At 49.2% G+C, this 20,317-nt stretch overlaps 1 protein-coding gene and 1 non-coding gene across 9 annotated transcripts; one reads left to right on the plus strand and one right to left on the minus strand.

Moving 5' to 3' along the window:
* Window positions 1–1,896: 1,896 nt before the first annotated feature.
* On the plus strand, window positions 1,897–19,608 carry ZNF623 (zinc finger protein 623). Of its 8 annotated transcripts, none has more exons than NM_001261843.2 (2): window positions 1,897–2,023; window positions 15,776–19,608. In NM_001261843.2, the coding sequence occupies exon 2, from the start codon at window positions 15,871–15,873 to the stop codon at window positions 17,359–17,361; it is 1,491 nt and encodes a 496-aa protein (NP_001248772.1). In that variant the 5' UTR covers window positions 1,897–2,023; window positions 15,776–15,870; the 3' UTR covers window positions 17,362–19,608. The 8 variants fall into 8 exon arrangements, with proteins under 8 accessions (NP_001248772.1, NP_001075949.1, XP_047278457.1 ...); NM_001082480.2 differs by lacking the exon at window positions 1,897–2,023 and adding an exon at window positions 2,040–2,293; XM_047422501.1 differs by lacking the exon at window positions 1,897–2,023 and adding an exon at window positions 2,648–2,668.
* LOC124902077 (U7 small nuclear RNA) lies at window positions 11,788–11,847 on the minus strand. The gene has a single exon (XR_007061197.1). It is a non-coding gene; the product is annotated as a U7 small nuclear RNA (small nuclear RNA).
* Window positions 19,609–20,317: the final 709 nt, after the last annotated feature.

The following is a 20,317-nucleotide window of genomic DNA, read 5'->3' on the forward strand; positions in this document are numbered from 1 at the left end:
CAGGAGAATGGCATAAACCCGGGAGGCAGAGCTTGCAGTGAGCCGAGATCGCGCCACTGCACTCCAGCCTGGGTGACAGAGAGAGACTCTGTCTCAAAAAAAAAAAAAAAAAAAAAGTATTAAGTGCCAAGCTGCAGCCATGTGTTAGCTGTTGGTGGGGTTGAAGTGGCAGGCGTCAGGTGTACAAGGCAGATTTTGATCTGTGACAACCTGCTCAGGCGGTGTTCTCAAGCTCTTTGGGCCTGCGGACAGGGAGGCTGAAAGGTCTGTAAGCCCTGTGGGGAAGAGGCCTCAAGCCCTTCTCGCCTTAAGAGCTGGGTCCCATGGTAAGCTGGCAATAGGGTTGCAGCAGCCAAGGTCTCCGGGCCTGGATGAGAGGTGGGGTCGCTCAATGTAGGGCTTTCACACACACCCCTGGAACACAGAAGCCTTTCCAAGAGCCGGGGAGCCCCTGGAGAATCACAGCAGGAGTTCCACATGGATTCTGCCCTGGAATTCCTGTAGAAGGTCCTTGGATGAGGGCACGCGCCTAGCGTGTCCCCCTTGGCCACAGCTCCTTCTCCCACGTTGCTTCTCTTCCTTTATTCACCCTGGTACCTGGCCTTGGTACCTGGGCTGTCCTCCTCATCAAAGGGACAATTCAAAACTCTGCAGTTGATTTTAAGAAAGTAGGTGAATTTATTGGCTGGGAAAGACTTCATGTAGTTTTGCACTTTAGGTTACTTCTAATTCTTTGTTTGCTTCTGTCAAAATTTAAAAAGGACCTATTCAAGTGGTCAACTGACAGGTCATTAAGTACACTTGGTGATAAACTGCTGTTATGTTTTTTGCATATAAGTCAGAAAGAGCTAAAGAAATTGAGCGTCGGCTGGGAACAGCGGTTCACGCCTGTAATCCCAGCACTTTGGGAGGCCAAGGCGGGTGGATCACGAGGTCAGGAGATCAAGACCATCCTGGCCAACAAGGTGAAACTCTGTCTCTACTAAAAATACAAAAATTAGCTGTGCGTGGTGGCGCATGCCTGTAATCCCAGCTACTCCAGAGGCCGAGGCAGGAGAATCGCTTGAATCAGGGAGCCATAGGTTGCAGTGAGCAGAGATCACGCCACTGCATTCCAGCACTCCAGCCTGGTGACAGAGCGAGAGTCCATCTCAAAAAATAAAAATAAAAATAAATTGAGCGTCATTGCTAAAACAAAATTCCTCCCAATCCTATCTAACAATTTAGGTAAACAAGTTTCCTCAGTGCTAGCAGAAAAATGGAAAAAGAAAACCCAAAATACGAATATAATGTTTTTTTGGTGGGGGGGGGGGGCAGGGGAATGTAATTATTTCGATTATTTCGGACTGTGACTCATTCTAGCAATGAGTAATGTCTACCAAGAATCAATGAGCCGGCGCGGTGGCGCGCGCCTCTGGTCCCAGCACTTTGGGAGGCCGAGATGGGAGGACCACCTGAGCCCGGGAGGTCGGGGCTGCAGTGAGCCGAGATCGCGCCACTGCACTGCAGCCTGGGCGACAGAGCGAGACCCTGTCTTAAAAAAACCAAAACCCGAAAACCAAAAAACTCCACAGCGCGCCGCTTCCCCACTTCTCTGGGGCGCAGAGAGGTGAAGTTTGGCCCTCACGGTATTTACTTCCCCTGGATCCTCGCCTCCTGAGAAGCTGGTCTTGGGCTGCGGTCGGACCTCGCCGCGAGCTCCAGACCCGAGTTTCCGAGCCCGCGCTTCCCGGCCCGCAACCCTCCCAACCGCGTAGCAACGCCGCTCCTGCCGGACACCCCTGGCCCCTCCGGGGGTCTTAGTCCCCGGGCCCGGAAGTCCGCACCACTGAGAGGGGAGCCGATCCCTGGCGCTCCTAGAACGGCGCAGGAAGTTTCCCAGGCGGGGCCTCTCGCGACTTCCGGTCGCGGCGGGCTGGCGGCGGTGCAGGCTTTGTCGGCTGATCTGTGGGGCCCGCGCCGGCGGGGTCCAGTCAGCGGCTGCAGGGTCGGGCTCGCGCCGTCCTCTCCCCGCCCGCGCCGGGTGAGTGGCGCGTTCCGGACGGGGGCGGGCAACGCCTTAGCCGCAGCCCCGGCTGGCTCCGGAGCCCGGCCGCCTTGCCAGGGCACAGTCCGCCGAGAGGGCCGGGCGGGGTCCGCAGGCCGCTGCCCGCCCCGCTAGGGCGTCCAGGAGCGGGGCCTTGGCTAGTCAGTCTCCCGGACGCAGCCACGGCCGCCCCCGCGAGGCTGCGGCGTCTCTCCAGCGAGCCCGCCTCGGGCCCGAGCCTGGGGTCTTGTCCCTGAGGAGCGCCGTGTGGGTACCCCTGGTTCCCTCTCCTTCCCCCCGCCCTGAGCCCAGGCCGGAGAGCCGCGGGCTTGAGTGTCCGTGTCGCAGTCTTCAGGTCCGCCAGGCCTGCGTGAGGTTGATGCCGCAGACATGTTTTACGGTGTGGCAGGACTGGGTGTGGGCGTTCCCGCGGCTGTGCCTGAACCCTGCCTCCGCTCCCTGGGGCCTCGAGGCCTCTCGGTGCTGGAGGAGATGCAGCGCCAGCATCTTCTGTGCTGTTGGGGATAGGGGTGGGGAGGGAAACATGATGAGCAGAATTAGAATTAAGTACAAGACTTGGACCTGGAGAATTCCCAGATGGGGAGAGGTGGTGTGGCTACGCTGTCCTGCTTTTTCTTGAAGGTACCCTTTTCCCTTCGCGTCTTTAAGAATCCCAGTGGCGTTCTCTGTGCTTCTGTCAAGGCTGTCTTGCTCCCTTCACACACAGGCTACGTCATGGTCCAGGGACTCTCAGGGTCTGGGCAGCGCCTGGATGCTGGCCTCAGACTCATAGGTAGTTGGTGTGAAGCAGCTCAGGGAGCTGCCGAGCTTGTCTTCGCTGCCTCAGGGTCATGGAAGATGACCCAGGAGAGGACACAGGGGGCTCGTCGTTGTCCTTGGGCAGAGCCCTGAGCAGCATGCCGGTAGCAGAAGCCAAATGGCCTGGGTGGGGCGGGGGCAGTTGACAGCTGGCTCCAGTTCTCTGACCTTACGCTTCTTACCTCCCTGAACTTCCGGGGCATCGTGGGGAGCACTAGGAACAGAAGCGCTCCCTGCCTAGCCTGTGGCGCCCAGTAGGCCCCTTGGTGTGGCGCGGGGCAAGGAGGTCCAGATGTTAGTGGAGCTCTAGTCCACGTCTCACTCGGTTGCCCTCTGGTTCTGCTTTTCCTGTTTCCTGAGGGTGAAGCTTGGTGTATCCTGTTAATTTCTTCAGGCTGTAAGCAACACACAGTGACTCTGGCTGGGAGCTTGAGGCTGGAATTTCCCCTTACCAGTGTGGGTGCAAGAGCTGGGGGCTTCTAATGCCAGATGGGACACCCCTAGACACCCCAGAGCTGCTGTGGCTGCTGATGATACACAACATCTGCTGTTGAGACAATTTCAAGTGATATTTATTTATTTATTTATTTATTTATTTTTGAGACGGAGTCTTGCTCTGTCGCCCAGGCTGGAGTGCAGTGGCATGATCTCGGCTCACTGCACCCCCTGCCTCCCGGATTCAAGTGATTCTTCTGCCTTAGCCTCCTGAGTTGCTGGGACTACAGGCACACGGCACCACGTCCGGCTAATTTTTGTATTTTTAGTAGAGACGAGGTTTCACCATATTGGTCAGGCTGGTCTTGAACTCCTGACCTTGTGATCTGCCCACCTCGGCTTCCCAAACTGCTGGGATTACAGGCGTGAGCCACCGCGCCTGGCCTCAGGTGATGTTTTATCCAGCAAATTCTGTGTTACAACAGGAGATGGGTCCATGCTAGTCAGTTTGTTGTGTGGAGCCACAAGTCAGGTGGCTTCCTTTTTTTTGCATTTCATGTCAGTTTCTTTAAATGAAAATGTATTGATTTAATTTTACTTAAATTCATACAAGAAAAAGTTAAGCAAAAACTGAAGATAGCTATTTCCTTTTTGAGATAACTGTTTCTTCAAAGCAAGATATTTGCAATTTTAAAAACTTTCTCTAGAGGCGGGCAGATCATGAGGTCAAGAGTTCGAGACCAGCCTGACCAACATGGTGAAACCCCATCTCTACTAAAAGTACAAAAGTTAGCCAGGTGTGGTGGCACGCCCCTGTAATCCCAGCTAGTCAGGAGGCTGAGGCAGGAGAATCACTTGAACCTGGGAGGTGGAGGTTGCAGTGAGTGGAGACCATGCCATTGCACTCCAGCCTGGGCGACAGAGTGAGATTCCGTCTTAAAAAAAAAAAAAAAACTTTCTCAAAAGTTAAAAAAATTATGAAAATTATTAAGAGGCACACATATGGTTTTAAGATATGTTCTTGTAAACAGAAACACCCTGTTTCTGGCCGGCCGTGGTGGCTCACACTTGTAATCCAATCCCAGCACTTTGGGAGGCCGAGGTGGGTGGATCACCTGAGGTCAGGAGTTTGAGACCAGCCTGGGTAACAAAGTGAAACCCCATCTGTACTAAAAATGCAAAAAAATTAGCCGGGCGTGGTGGCAGGCGCCCATAATCCCAGCTACTTGGGAGGCTGAGGCAGGAGAATCGCTTGAACCCACGAGACAGAGATTGCAGGGAGGTGGAGATTGCAGTGAGCCGAAATTGTGTCACTGCACTCCAGCCTGGGCGACAGAGTGAGACTCTGTCTCAAAAAATATATATATATATCAAATAAAAAAAAATAAACAGCTTGTTTCCAGGTAGTATAACAGCCATTTTAAAATTTAAAATCAGAAGGTATCAACTGAGTTCCAAAACAAGAAACCAACATCTCCACCCCACCGTTCTCCCACTTCTTTTTTTTGAGATAGAGGTTTGCTCTTGTTGCCCAGGCTGGAGTGCAATGGCGCGATCTCAGCTCATTCCACCCTCTGCCGCCCAGGTTCAAGAGATTCTCCTGCCTCAGCCTCTCGAGAAGCTGGGATTACAGGCGTGTGCCACCACACCTGGCTAATTTTGTATTTTTAGTAGAGATGGGGTTTTACCATGTTGGCCAGGCTGGTCTCGAACTCCTGACCTCAGGTGATCTGCCTGCCTCGGCCTCCCAAAGTGCTGGGATTACAGGCATGAGCCACCATGTCCGGCCCACCCCCTTTTTAATTTATTTTTATTTTTATTTATTTATTTTTGAGATGGAGTTTCGCTCTTGTTGCCCAGGCTGGAGTGCAATGGCGTGATCTCAGCTCACTGCAGCCTCCACCTCCGCCTCCTGGGTTCCAGTCATTCTCCCGTCTCCGCCTCCCAAGTAGCTGGGATTACAAGCATGTGCCACCATGCCCAGCTAATTTTGTATTTTTAGTAGAGACGGGGGTTTCTCCATGTTGGTCAGGCTGGTCTCGAACTCCTGACCTCAGGTGATGTGCCTGCCTAGGCCTCCCAGAGTGTTGGGATTACAGGCGTGAGCCACTGCATCTGGCCTGTCTTTTTAAAATACAGACTGTGTTTCACCATGTTGACCAGGCTGGTCTCTAAGTCCTGAGCTCAAGCAGTCTACCTGCCTCAGCCTCCCAAAGTGCTGTGATTACAGGTGTGAGCCGCCGCACCTGGCCCAGTTTGAATTTATCATCATGGGGAGAATTGAATCTGAATATTTTGAGTTGTATATTAGCATTATTTAAGACGTAGGTTAAAGTTGCTGTAACAGATTCAAATACGGTGTTTCAAATAAGAAACTTGAGTTGTCTTATTCTCTCTTAAAGGTAGGGTTGGCCTCCAGGGACTCTGGCTGCCCTGCCTCATCAGCACTGTGGGGAGGGGAGAGAGTGGACAGCACGCACACATCACTTCCCTTCTCGCCTCATCTTGGTCACAAACTCACCTAACTTAAGGGGACACTAGGAAATGTCATTTATGGGGCAGTCATTAGTAATTTGATGGGGTTTCTAACACTTAAAGGAAGAAGGAAACAGGAATGCTAGGGAACCACATTGGCTACCCAAGTGTCCAGTGGACCTTTCATCCCACACATGGGGATGTGCCAGTGTGGGTCCAGACCACTGCAATAAAGTGAATAGCAAAACAAAGCAAGTCACAGAAACTTCTTAGCTTCCCAGTGTATATAAAAGTTACGTTTAGGTATGCTGTGGTTACTATTCAGTATGCAATAGCATTATGTCTAAAAATGTAAATAATTTAAAGATACTTTATTGCTAAAAGATGATCATCTGAGCCTTAAGTTGTAATCATTTTGCTGATGGAGGGTCTTGCCTTTCTTGATGGCTGCTGACTGATCAGGGTGATGGTTGCTGAAGGTTGGTGTGACTGGCAGTTTCTTAAAATGGGACGATGAAGTTTGTCACATCAGTGGAATCTTGCTTTCACAAAAGATTTCTCTGTAGCATGCAAAGCTGTTCGCTAGTATTTTACCCAAGTAGAACTTCTTTCAAAATTAGAGTCAAGCCTCTCAAACCCTGCCTGTGTTTTATCAACTAAGTTTATGGAATCTTCAAAATCCTTTGTTGTCATTTCAACAGTGTTCACGGCATCTTCACCAGGAGCAGATTCCATGTCAAGAAGCGTACTTGTTTTCCTCATCTCTAAGAAGCAACACCTCAGCCGGGCATGGTGGCTCGTGCCTGTAATCCCAGCACTTTGGGAGGCTGAGGCAGGTGGATCACCTGAGGTCAGGAGTTTGAGACCAGCCTGGCCAACATAGCCAAATCCCGTCTCTACTAAAAATACAAAAATTAGCTGGGCGTGGTGGCGCACTCCTGTAATCCCAGCTACTCAGGAGGCTGAGGCAGGAGAATTGCTTGAACCCGGGAGGTGGAGGTTGCAGTGAGCCGAGATTGCACCACTCCACTCTGCCTGGGGAACGAGAGTGAAACTCTGTCTTTAAAAAAAAAAAAAAAAAAAAAAAAAAAGCAGCAGCACCTCATCCATTCAAGTTTGATCACGAGATTGAAGCAATTCAGTGACATCTTTAGGCTACACTTCTAAATCTAGCTCTCTTGCTATTTTCACCACATCTATAGTTGCTTCCTCCACTGAAGTCTCAAACCCCTCAAAGATTCATGAGGGCTGGAATCAGGTTTTTCCAAAATACCAAATGTTGATGTTTTGACCTCCTCCCATAAATCATGAATGTTCTTCGTGGCATCTATAATGATGACTCCTTTCCAGAAGGTTTTCGGCTGACTTTGCCCAGATCCATCAGAGGAATCATTATGGCACCTACAGCCTTGTGAAACATATTTCTTAATAAGACTTGAAAGTTGGAGTGACTCCCAGCCAGGGGCTGCAGAATGCACGTTGTGTTGGCAAAAGAAGAACATCAGTCTCCCTGTTCATCTCCATCAGAGCTCTTGGGTGACCAGGAGCATTGTCAGTGAGTAGTGTTTTTTTTTTTTTTTTTTTTTTTTTCTTTTTTTTTTTTTTTGAGACGGAGTCTTGCTCTGTCGCCCAGGCTGGAGTGCAGTGGCGGGATCTCGGCTCACTGCAAGCTCCGCCTCCCGGGTTCACGCCATTCTCCTGCCTCAGCCTCCCAAGTAGCTGGGACTACAGGCGCCCGCCACTACGCCCGGCTATTTTTTTGTATTTTTAGTAGAGACGGGGTTTCACCGTTTTAGCCGGGATGGTCTCGATCTCCTGACCTCGTGATCCACCCGCCTCGGCCTCCCAAAGTGCTGGGATTACAGGCGTGAGCCACCGCGCCCGGCCGTGAGTAGTGTTTTGAAAGGAATCTTTTTTTCTGAGCAGTAGGTCTCATTAGTGAGCTTAAAATACTCCATAAACCATGCTGTAAACAGATGCACTGTCATCCAGGCTTTGTTATTCCATTTCCAACACAGGCAGAGTGGATTTAGCATCATTCTTAAGGGTCCTAGAATTTTTGGAATGGGAAATGACCATTGGCTTCACGTCACCAGCTGCATTCGCCCCTAACGAGAGTCAGCCTGTCCTTTTCAATCTTTGAAGCCAGGCATTGACTTCTCTCTAGCTGCGAAAGTCCTAGATGCCATCTTCTTCCAATAGAAAGCGGTTTTATCCACACTGAAAATCTTTTTAGAGTAGCCACCTTAGTCAACCATCTTAGCTAGATCTGGAGAACTTGCTTCAGTTTCTCCCGTAAAGCTTGCAGCTTCACCTTGCACTTCTATGTGTGGAAGTGACTTCTTTCCTTAAACCTCATGAACCAACCTCTGCTGGTTTTCTGCTTTTCTTCCGCAGCTTCCCTCACCCGTCTCGGCCTTCATAGAATTGAGGACGGTTAGGACCTTGCTGTGGATTCAGCTTTGGTTGCCAGTCACACCAGCTGTCGGGCAAAGTTGTTGTTTTAATCTCTCCAGACCACTCAGACTTCTTCCACATCAGCAATAAGGCTGTCTTGCTATCCTGTCATTTGTGTGTTCACTGGAGCAGCTCGTTTAATTTCCTTCTGGGGCTTTTCCTTTGCATTGCCGCTCAGCCGTTTGATGCAAGAGGCCCGGCTTTCTGACTGAGTTTTAGACATGCCTTCCTCACAAAGCTTAATCATTTCTAGCTTTTGGTTTAAAGTGAGAGATGTGGGATTCCTCCTTTCACGTGAGAGGCCATGGTAAGGTTACTAATTAGCCTAATCTCAATATTGTTATATCCAGGGAAGGGGGAGGCTGGAGGAAAGGGAGAGATGGGGAACAGCCGGTTGGTGGTGGATGTAGGAAACACACATTGATAATTCAGCTTCTTATATGGGTGCGGTTCATGGTGCCCCAAACAGTGACAGTAGTTTTAGATTCCTGTTACCTGCCGGGCACCTGGCATGGGTGTGGAGGGCAGAGTTCTGAGGTGGTCTCTTAGATTCCTGGCCCCTAATGTACACACCCCTTCTTCCAGTTACTCATTCAGACACTCATCTGGTACTGTCATGAAGAGACTTGCAGATGTCGGGAGGTCCCAGGTCAGTGAGGTGAGAAGGGAGGTCGTCTGGGAGAGCCTGACCTAATCACACAGACCCTGGGAAGCAGAGGTTCCTCCATCTGGTTGGAGAACAGAGGCTGAGATTAGATGCGTGAGAAAAATGTGATGTGCTGTGCCTGCCTTGAGATTCAGGTGGCCCCTAGGGGCGGCTCCTGCTCACAGCCAGTAAGCACACAGGGTTCTTAGTCCTACAGTTGCAGGGAACTGGATTCTGCCACGAAATCTGAATGAGTTTGGAAACCAGTTTTCCCCAGGGCCTCCAGATGAGAGCTCAGCCCGATGACATACAGTTGCAGCTTTGCGTGACCCTGCGTGGAGATCCCAGCTGGCCTGGCCTGGATGTGTGACCTGCAGAACTGTAGGGTAACAAATGCATGCTGCTTTAAGCTGCTGAGTTTGTGTAAATTGTTTTTGGAGCAGTGGATAACTGGGAGAGGGCTTGGCACTGGGCGGGTGGAGTCCCCTTCTTGGAAGCAGTTCCCAGAGTGAGGATTCCCAGACTGCAGGCTGGGGCATTGCCCTCCACAGCGGGGTTGGATAGAGCATCCCAGTGCCTGCGTGAGGTCGCATAATTCCGGGTCCAGTCAGCTTTTCCAAAGTGAGCACCTGTGTGACTCAGGGCACCACCATGTGCCCCTGCCAGTGACAGTGTCTCCTGAACACCATTGCAGCTTACATCCTTCCACCAGGGATTGGCTCTCTGTTTTCTAGCTTTATGTAAATGGAGTCGTACAATATGAGCTCTTTTGTGCCTGGCTGCTTTTGCTCAGCACTTCGTCTGTTGTGAGGTCCACCTGTGCTTTTATGTGTGGCAGTTTTTTTTCTGTGCATTATTGTTTGTGTGAGTCTTCTGTTGCTAGATATTTAGGGTGTTAGAATGTTGCTAAGAACACTCTAGCTACAGACTTCTGCAGGGTAGGCTTGCAGTTTCTCCAGCAACCTAATTCCCTTGAAAATATCCTCACTGTTGGGGCTGCTTGCTGCCAGTGCATCCCACGTCACAGCTCTGGTTTTGGTTTTTGTTTTTTATTTTTTGAGATGGAGTCTCACTTTGTCACCCAAGCTGGAGTACGGTGTTGTGATCTCTGCTTACTGCAACCTCTGCCTCCCAGGTTCAAGTGATTCTCCTGTCTCAGCCTCCCGAGTAGCTGGGATTACAGGTGCATGCCACCACACCTGGATAATTTTTGTATTTTTAGTAGAGATGAGGTTTCACCATAGCCAGGCTGGTCTCGAACTCCTGACCTCAAGTGATCCACCCACCTTAGCCTCCCAAAGTGTTGGGATTACAGGCATGAGCCGCTGTACCTGGTGCAGCTCTGGTTTTTAAACGAGCAGAACCTCCAGTTTTATTTACTGGCTTCTGGGCTGGGCTGATCCCCCCTCCCTCATTATATTGGCAGTGGCCTTGAGGTATTGAAGACAGTAGTAGTGGATGGGAAGGCAACATTACTGATCTTCGCAGTGGCCCGGCTCCCACTGCCCAGCAAGAACCCCAAAGAGAAGGTTCTTGAGGCGAGACAGTCAGCCTTCTCATCCTGAGAGCCACATTAATGGGTCCTCAGTGCATAAGCAGAATATATATGGAAATTAAGCAAATACATGGCTGGGTGTGGTGGCTCACTCCTGTAACCCCAGCACTTTGGGAGGCCAAGGTGGCTGGACTGCTTGAGGCCAGGAGTTTGAGACCAGCCTGGCCAATATGGAGAAGCCCCATCTCTACTAAAAATACACAAGAATTGCTTGAACCCAGGAGGCGGAGGTTGCAGTGAGCTGAGATCACGCCACCATGCAATCAGCCTGTGCGAGAGAGCAAGACTATCTTTAAAAAAAAAAAAAAAAAGCCCGGGCGCAGTTGCTCAAGCCTGTAATCCCAGCACTTTGGGAGGCCAAGGTGGGCTGATCACCTGAGTTTGGGAGTTCGAGACCAGCCTAACCAACACGGAGAAACCCCATCTCTACTAAAAATACAAAATTAGCTGGGTGTGATGGCGCAAGCCTATAATCCCAGCTACTTGGGAGGCTGAGGCAGGAGAATCGCTGGAACCCGGGAGCTGGAGATTTTGATGAGCCGAGATCGTGCCATTGCACTCCAGCCTGGGCAATAAGAGCAAAACTCCATCTCAAAAAAAAAAAAAGAGAGAAAATACAAATGGTCGGCCGAGCGTGGTGGCTCATGCCTGTAATCCCAGCACTTTGGGAGGCCAAGGCGGGCGGATCACAAGGTCAGGAGATCGAGACCATCCTGGCTAACGGTGAAACCCCGTCTCTCCTAAAAATACAAAAAAATTGGCCAGGCATGGTGGCGGGCGCCTGTAGTCCCAGTTGCTCGGCAGGAGAATGGCGTGAACCCAGGAGGCAGAGCCTGCAGTGAGCTGAGATGGCGCCACTGCACTCCAGCCTGGGCAACAGATCGAGACTCCATCTCAAAAAAAAAAAAAAGACAAATCCTCAGACTTGAGGCTGGTAAAGTGCAGGCGCCAAGAAAGAAACTTTCTCTCAAAGCAGTCACTGTTCCTTTGGTCTCTGCTTTCAGAGAGTGGATTCTGGCTTCCCCCCTTTCCATGGCAGAGCCTCAGATATCATTGTTTCGTTATAACATCTATGAGGGAAAAAGTGATTCCTGGCTGGGAGCACCATGTGTGGAGTGTGCACATTCTCCCCACGGCCGCCTGCTTTCCTCCACGTCCCAAAGATGTGTCCATTAGGTGAATTGGGGTGTCTCCTTGGTCCCAGCATGAGCGAGTTTGGGTGTGTGAGTTGCCCTGTGGTGGGACCCTGTCCTATCCGGGGCTGGTTCTCACCTCGCACCCTGAGCTGCCAGGATAGGCTCCAGCTACCCAGAACCGTGCATTAAAATAAGTGGGTAAATAATTATCTTGTTTTTCTTAATTTTTTTTTTTATGGGAGATTTTCCAGTAAAAACTGAGAAACCTGCTAGACATTCTAAAAGAGCTGTAGCAAGCACTGTTAATCTTTCTTTAAGGTAAGGTATGTATAACTCACATTTATTTCAGTGTTTAATACTAGAAGTGTTGGAGCTTTTTTTTTAATTAGAGACAGGGTCTCACTCTGTCACCTAGGTTGGAGTTCCATGGCATAGTCATGGCTTACTACAGCCTCAAACCTCTGGGCTCAAGTGATCCTCCTGACTTAGCCTCCCAAATAGCTGGGACCACAGGTATGCAACATCACACCCAGCTAAATAAAAAATTGTTTTTTAGAGATGGAGTCTTGCTATGTTGCCCAGGCTGGTCTTGGACTCCTGGCCTCAAGTAGTCCTCCTGCTTTGGCCACTGGAAATGCTGGGATTATAGGCATGAGCCACTGTACCTGGCTTATTACCTTGTATTGAGTGTATTATGTATGCATGATTAGAACATTCATTCATACAGCAGATATTGATGAAATGTATTACTTTATGCCAGAAATTGTTTGGGTTGCTGAGGATAAAGAACAGAACAAAGTTCCTGCCCACACAGCACTCACATACTTGTGGGGGAGACAACAAAACACATAGTTTGTTGCCTGTGGGGTGTGTGCGTGTGTGTGTGTGTGTGTGTGTGCATGCATGTATATATCACAATTCATTGATTCTAAGATACACTTTCTCCATATTTTAATGTCTCTGAAATTGAGTTGCCTGTTAGAATTGATGGAGTGTTTTTTGTTGTTGTTTGAGACAGGGTTTTGCTCTGTCACCCAGGCTGGAATGCAGTGGCACAAGCACGGCTCACTGCAGTCTCAACTTCCTGGGCTCAAGTGATTCTCCTGCCTCAGTCTCCCATGTAGTTGGAACCACAGGTGTGCTACCTTGCCTGGCTGTTTTTAAAAATGTTTTTTGTAGAGATGGGATCTTTCTACCTTGCCCAGGCAGACGTTGAACTCCTGGTCTCAAGTGACCCTCCCACCTCTGCCTCCCAAAGTCTTAGGATTACAGGAGTGAGCCACTGTGCCTGGCTTGATGGAGTGTTTTCATTTAAATTGGTACTTTTATTTTCCTTCATGGTTCATAAAATTGTGTCACATCTCGCAGTCGATGGCTGCTTTGATTGGGTGACTTATGATTGGTCAAGTGGTCAGAACTGTGCAGAGAAAGCAGAGGCAGGAGAGAGGGCATGCTGAGGGTGGGGGTGCCTTGCTGTTTTTTTTTTTTTTGTTTTGTTTCGTTTTTTGAGACGGCGTCTTGCTCTGTCACTCAGGCTGGAGTGCAGTGGCACAATTTTGGCTCACTGCAAGCTCCGCCTCCTGGGTTCAGGCCATTCTCCTGCTTCAGCCTCCCAAGTAGCTGGGACTACAGGCGCCTGCCGCCACGCCCGGCTAATTTTTTTTGTATTTTTGGTAGAGATGGGGTTTCAGTGTGTTAGCCAGGATGGTCTCGATCTCCTGACCTCGTGGTCCGCCCGCCTCTGCCTCCCAAAGTGCTGGGATTACAGGCGTGAGCCACCATGCCCAGCCAGCCTTGCTGTTTTATAGTGTGACTAGGAGGGACTCTGATCAGGTGACGTCAACACAGACACCTGAAGGACATCTAGGAGTGAACCCTGCAAATATCTTTGGAGTCTTTCTACGAAAGTGCAAAGGCTCCGAGGGGGCAGGGACTGCAGGGGCCAGTGTGACCAAAGAAGAGGGAAGGGGAGGGCAGGGTGAGCAGCAGGAGTCCAGGCCCAGTGGCCCTTGTGGGGCCAGAGTAGGGGATGGGAAACCTTTGTCAGTTTTGAGTAGAAAAGTGACATCTGATTTATGATTTTAAAGCGTAATTCTGCTGGCTGTGTAGAAAAGAGCTGGAGAAGGGGAGAAGTAAGCAGGTGGGAGGTGGTCACGCTTCATGGTGAAAGGCGATGGTGCAGATGGCAGCCCTGTAGGCTGTGGGCGTCTGGCGCTGGGCATGGTTTTGAACAGATGTGGAGTGTGAACAAAGGGAAGAGGATTCAAGGGTTATTGCAGTGTCTGTGGCCTGAACAAATGAGATAATGGAGAAAACTATAGAAGGAGGAAAATCAGAAGTGAGGCTGGACGCATTAGGGTTGAAAAACTTCTGAGAGCATCCAAATGAAGGTGTTGGGTGAGGAGCTGGTCAGGTGTTGGGGCTGGAAAGAAGGCCAGGTTGGAGGCAGGCATGTGAGTGTTCAGCATAGATGGCGTTGGTGTCTGATAATGAGTGCACTCCCCTCTGTAATGGACAGAGATGAGGGCTGAGCCCTAGACACGCCAGGGCTTTGAGGCGTCAGGGGACACTGGGAGGAGCTATCAGTGAGGCGGGTAGGGAACAGAGAAAGGCTGTCCCAGATTCACATAAGGAGAGTGACTTCTGAAGGAGCGGGGCTGTGTCAGTGCCACCGCAGGTTGAGTTGGAAGTGTGGCCATAGCTGACCCCTGATATGGTGACGTGGATGTTTGGGGTGAGAGCCCTACTGTAGTAGGCTCAGGGGAAGGAGGAAATGGAGAAATCGAGCGTGGGGTGGGGGCTCTTTGAATGGGGCTGCGGAGGAGGAGAGTCATGGGGTAGTAATTGGTGGGACATGGGGCCCATGACGTGCATTTTTCAGGTCGCTGGGAACTGGCGCACTTCTTCATGCTGAGGGGAGTGGTGGGCTTGGAGGGCAAGGACTTCAGGATGGAGGAGAGGGATGGGTGCTCAGGTGCTGTCCCTGCATGTGTGAGAGGGAAAGGGAGCTCACACACAAGTGGAAGTGTTGCCTTTAAGTCAGAACAAGGGCAGTTTAACCCAGGTAACAAGCCTGGCAGAGGATGGGTGGAGATACAGGCTGGCAGGAGACGTGGGAGGCAGTGGATGTCCTTGCCTGATTTCTTCTGTTTTCTCATTGAAACAAGAAGCAAGGTCACCAGTGGGGAGGGAGGAGGGAGTGCTGAGTTTGTAAGAAGATAGGAGAAGTGGAAGGTCCTGTGGGGAGTGGGAAGGGTAGGAGTTGCTGGCAGCTCTCAGGCCCCATTAGGCAAGCAGCTCTGAATTTAAAGAGCTCAGTCAGCTGGCTGGATGTGGTGGCTCACGTCTGTAATCCCAGCAGTTTGGGAGGCCGAGGCGGGCAGATCACGAGGTCAGGAGATCGAGACCATCCTGGCTAACACGGTAAAACCCCGTCTCTACTAAAAATACAAAAAAATTAGCCGGGCGTGGTGGCGGGCGCCTGTAGTCCCAGCTGCTTGGGAGGCTGAGGCAGGAGAATGGTGTGAACCCAGGAGGCAGAACTTGCAGTGAGCCGAGATTGCACCACTGCACTCCAGCCTGGGTGACAGAGCGAGACTCCATCTAAAAAAAAAAAAAACAAAAACAAACAAAAAAACAGCAAGAGTGCAGGCACAAATCAAAACACAACCTCGTTTTAACCAAAGGTTGGGCTTTCCCATCCAAGTATCATGGAGGGAGGAAAGGGCAGGGGAGCCCGATTCTGTGCAGGAGGGTGATTCTCATGCAACTTACAGTGAACACAGTGCCCCAGATCATGGGCTCTAAGCTAGGTATGGAGGGGAGAAGAGGACATGAAGGAAGGAATGAGGAACAGTGAAGAGGTGGCAGGGCTGATGTGTTTATACGTTTGTTTAAAGTATCTGTCTCGGTTTTTTAATGGAGTTCAAGCATATCCCCACCCCTCTGCAACTCATCCAGGATTCACTAATGGTCAGAGGAGTGTTGTGCACCACAGACCAGTCTGTCCTGGTGTTGGATGTTAAAAGTGGAGCCACAAAGAAGCCATCTTATGTGGGACAGGCTTGGGTGTGAGACCAGAGCTGTGGGTAGCAGCATGTTGGGTCAGGATGAGGGGCAGAGGAAACACTTTCCACCTCTTGGATATGGATTTTATCCTGCCCTGATTCAGGAGATCCCCATCTGTTAAGTAAGGGGAAAGATGATTTTGTTGTCTTTTGTTTCAGATTCTAATGTAGGAACTGGTGAGAAGAAGGTGACTGAAGCCTGGATTTCTGAGGATGAAAACTCACATAGGACGACGTCAGACAGACTCACGGTGATGGAGCTCCCCTCTCCCGAGTCTGAGGAAGTCCACGAGCCCAGATTAGGGGAGCTCTTGGGAAATCCAGAAGGTCAGAGCCTGGGGAGTTCCCCCTCTCAGGACAGGGGCTGCAAGCAGGTGACAGTGACCCATTGGAAGATCCAGACAGGAGAGACAGCTCAAGTGTGCACCAAGTCAGGAAGAAACCATATTCTGAACTCAGACCTTCTTCTGCTTCAGAGAGAGCTCATAGAGGGGGAAGCCAATCCTTGCGATATCTGTGGCAAAACCTTCACGTTTAATTCGGACCTAGTTAGGCATCGGATTTCGCATGCTGGGGAGAAACCTTACACGTGCGATCAGTGTGGGAAAGGCTTTGGCCAGAGCTCACACCTTATGGAGCATCAGAGAATTCACACTGGAGAGAGACTCTACGTCTGTAATGTGTGTGGGAAAGACTTCATTCACTATTCAGGTCTCATTGAGCATCAGCGCGTTCATTCAGGAGAAAAGCCCTTCAAATGTGCGCAGTGTGGGAAGGCGTTTTGTCACAGTTCAGACCTGATTAGGCACCAGAGAGTTCACACCAGAGAGAGACCTTTTGAATGCAAAGAGTGTGGGAAAGGCTTCAGTCAGAGCTCCTTACTTATTCGCCATCAGAGGATTCACACGGGAGAAAGGCCCTATGAGTGCAATGAATGTGGGAAATCCTTCATAAGGAGCTCGAGCCTCATTCGCCATTATCAGATCCACACAGAAGTGAAACAGTATGAATGCAAAGAATGTGGGAAGGCATTCCGTCATCGCTCAGACCTTATTGAACACCAGAGAATTCACACCGGAGAGAGACCCTTTGAATGCAATGAGTGTGGGAAAGCCTTTATTCGGAGTTCAAAGCTCATTCAGCATCAGAGGATCCATACTGGGGAGAGGCCTTACGTATGCAATGAGTGTGGGAAGCGCTTCAGCCAGACGTCAAACTTCACCCAGCATCAGAGAATTCACACTGGAGAGAAACTCTATGAATGTAACGAGTGTGGGAAAGCTTTCTTTCTGAGTTCATACCTTATTCGACACCAGAAAATCCACACTGGAGAGAGAGTGTATGAATGTAAGGAATGTGGGAAAGCGTTTCTCCAGAAAGCCCATCTCACTGAGCACCAGAAGATCCACTCTGGGGACAGGCCCTTCGAATGTAAAGACTGTGGGAAAGCCTTCATCCAGAGCTCCAAGCTGCTTCTGCACCAGATTATTCACACTGGAGAAAAGCCCTATGTGTGCAGTTATTGTGGGAAAGGCTTTATTCAGAGGTCAAACTTCCTTCAACACCAGAAAATTCATACTGAAGAGAAGCTCTATGAATGTAGTCAGTATGGGAGAGATTTTAACTCAACTACAAACGTTAAAAATAATCAAAGGGTTCACCAAGAGGGACTCTCCTTGAGTAAGGCCCCCATACATTTGGGTGAGAGGTCTGTAGATAAGGGGGAACACACAGGTAACTTATAAAATAATTACTTTCCCGCCCAGTGAGTGATGTTTGGAAATGCGTGGAATTAGGATTCATGTGGTTTCTAAGATTTGGACATGTCAGAATTTTGTGAGTCATGGATGGGGCTGCTTTTGCAGTGGGTGCCACCTGCCACTGTGCAGCCCTACTCGGCTCAGCCCTTCTCCTCAGCTGTGAGCACTGTCCTCAGGAGAGTCACAGGGCTTGACACCTGACTCTGAGCTGGAACAGTAGGGGCAGGGAGAAGACAGGTCTCAAGAAAAGGTTTTTAAGAAGTTTCATCCCCAGTTAAGCAGAGTCCATCCTTGACTTAAATCCCTTATTACAGCACAACTGTGTATCTAATCTTACGATTTAGGAGAATGTTACCTAGGACATTTTGATGTGTTAAGTTGAAGAAAGGTAACTCGTGTATGAACCCCGAGCCATTTCCCTGTTGTCCTGAGGAGGAACTCCAGGCCTCCCATCGTGTGCCCTAAGGCCTCCTGCGTCCTGGAGCCCTGCCTCCCACTGCCTGACTTCCTGCCACACGGTTAATGCTGCAGCAACACCGACTGCTTCATCTTCCCTGTGCTCCACGTGGCTTCCTACCTCTCTCGCCTTTGTTCTTGTTGAAGGGTCTCTTCTCAGCTAATTAACTCTGAATCATGGTTCAAGACAAGCCTCAGGCATCATGTCAATGGGTGTTTCCCTCAAGCTTAGTTGGCAGCACTCTCCACACTTCTGTGGCTCAGTGATTACTGCTATTACTATATTTACTTGCATATGTCAGAATGATGTGATAGACTATCTCTGTCACTATGCTGTTGGGTTCCTGAGGACAGTGATCATATCTGATTGATTTCCATGTGTCCACTGTCTAGCACAGGGCAATAAAAAATACACCCCTAAATCTATGTGTAATTGGCATCTCTCTTGCTTTGTCCTTTCTATACTGCCATTCTAAAAATTTTCAGCTGTTGGCTGTTTTTTTTGTTGTTTGTTCATTTTGTATCAGTATAATCTACGATTCTGTTAGAAGTATCTTCTCAGCCCTGCTACTGTCTGCTGCTCCTACTTAGAAGTTGCAGGCAATATCCTGTGCACATCCACGCCCTCCTGTGTGCCACCTTACAGCTCATGCAGAACTGTCTACTTGATCTGGAGGGCATTGACACCTGGCTCAGCTGGAACAGTGGGGACAGGAGGAGGCAGGTCTCAAGAGAAGGTCTTTACTTACTTGTCTGTATCTTTCTGTCTCACTCGAAAGGCACAGTCTCAATGCGCTACGTAACTCTTCTGTTGTAGCAGTTCTGAGGTTGAACTGAGCTCTTGTCATTTTCCATGCTCTCTGGCTCATTGTGTCATTTCAAAATGTATTGATATCTATAAGGAATAGTCCTCAATGTTGGGAAAACAGATGAGCAACCCACTACCCTGAAGTCATCCACCGTGTAGTGGGGAAGACGGAGATCACAGTAGGGTGAGTTAAGTATGTGCCCTCAGGTGTGAAGGAGCACAGGTGAGGGGGTGCCTGCTGTGGCACAGAGCTGGGAAGGCCTTACAGAAGAGGTGACATTTCAGCTGGGCCAGAGATCAGTAGAGAGCAGCTGAAGAAGAAAATAGGGTCCAGGAGAGGAATCTGCAGAAACATGGAGCCATGACAGATGGCTTTTTGGCTAGGACTGTTCGAAAGCAGGCGAGGTAAATGGACAGTGGACAGCCGCCTCGCCAAACTGTTAGTCTTTACCTCTGAATTTCATCTGGACATGAACCCCAAAGTCCAGTTTTGTAACGATATAATTTTTTTCTCATGAGGCCATATTTTGAGTTCTTAAATACTACCAACCCTGAACGTCTCAGGACAAATAATTCAAAAAAGAGATCTACATTTTCTGGAAAATCAGCATTACTAGAGATGTTTCAAATGTAGATTTTACCAGACCATTTTAATCAACTTTATTGAGATTCAATTTTCATATAGTAAAACGCCTATTTAAGTGTACAAGGTTTTGAAAAATCTATACACCTGTGTAACCACCACCACCTGTGTAACCACCACCGCCAGAACCAAAAACGTTTCTGTCACCCAAAGAAGTTCCCTTTTGCCTTTTCCTAGTTAAGCCCACTCCAGCCCCAGATAACCACTTTCTATCCTCATAGATTAGTGTTGCTTGGTTTAGAGCCTCATACAAATGGATTCATTTACTATGTGTTCTTTTGCGTCTGATGTCTCACTTTGGCATGTTTTTAGACTCATCCAAGCTGTTTTGTGTTTCAGTAGTTCTCCTTGCTGAATAGTATTCCATTGTGTGGATAAGCCATCATTTGTTTATTCATCCATGTGTTAATGGGTTTCCAGTCTCGGCTCTTAAAACTATGAGCATTTGTGTAAAAGTATGTATTTGCACATGTGTTTTTATTTCTCTTGGGTAAGTACCTAGGACTTTAATTGCTGTGTTGTAAGTGTCTTAGTTCATTCAGGCTGCCATAACAAAATACCATCAACTGGGAGGCTTATAAACAACAGAAATTTATGTTTTACAGTTCTGGAGGCTGGGAAGTCCAAGATGAGGGTGTCAACATTTGGTGTCTAGTGAGGGCCTGCTTCCTTTTAAGTAGATGTCTTTTTACTGTGACTGCACGTGGTGGAAAGGGACTAGCAAGCTTACCCCATTCATGAGGGCTCTCCCCTTGTGATTCTGTCCCCTCCCCAAGACCCCACCTCATATCATCTTATGGGTTAGGAATTTGACATGAATTGTGCAAGGATGTAAACATTCAGTCCATTGCAATACGTGTTTCTAACTTCCTAAGAAATTGTCACACAGCCCTCTGTAGTGGTTGAATCATTTTACACTATTACTACATTATGGGAAGATTCCAGTTGCTCCATATCTTTGCTAACACTTGGCATTGTCAGTCTCTTAAAATTTAATCCACTCTAGCCTCCTTATGATTTTAATTTGTATTTGC

Source organism: Homo sapiens, chromosome 8 (assembly GCF_000001405.40).
Source record: "Homo sapiens chromosome 8, GRCh38.p14 Primary Assembly".
NCBI lineage: Eukaryota > Metazoa > Chordata > Mammalia > Primates > Hominidae > Homo > Homo sapiens.

Excerpts from the sequence above, each read along its gene's own strand:
- ZNF623 (NM_014789.3), top strand. The coding sequence starts at position 15,751 with ATGATTTTGTTGTCTTTTGTTTCAGATTCTAATGTAGGAACTGGTGAG.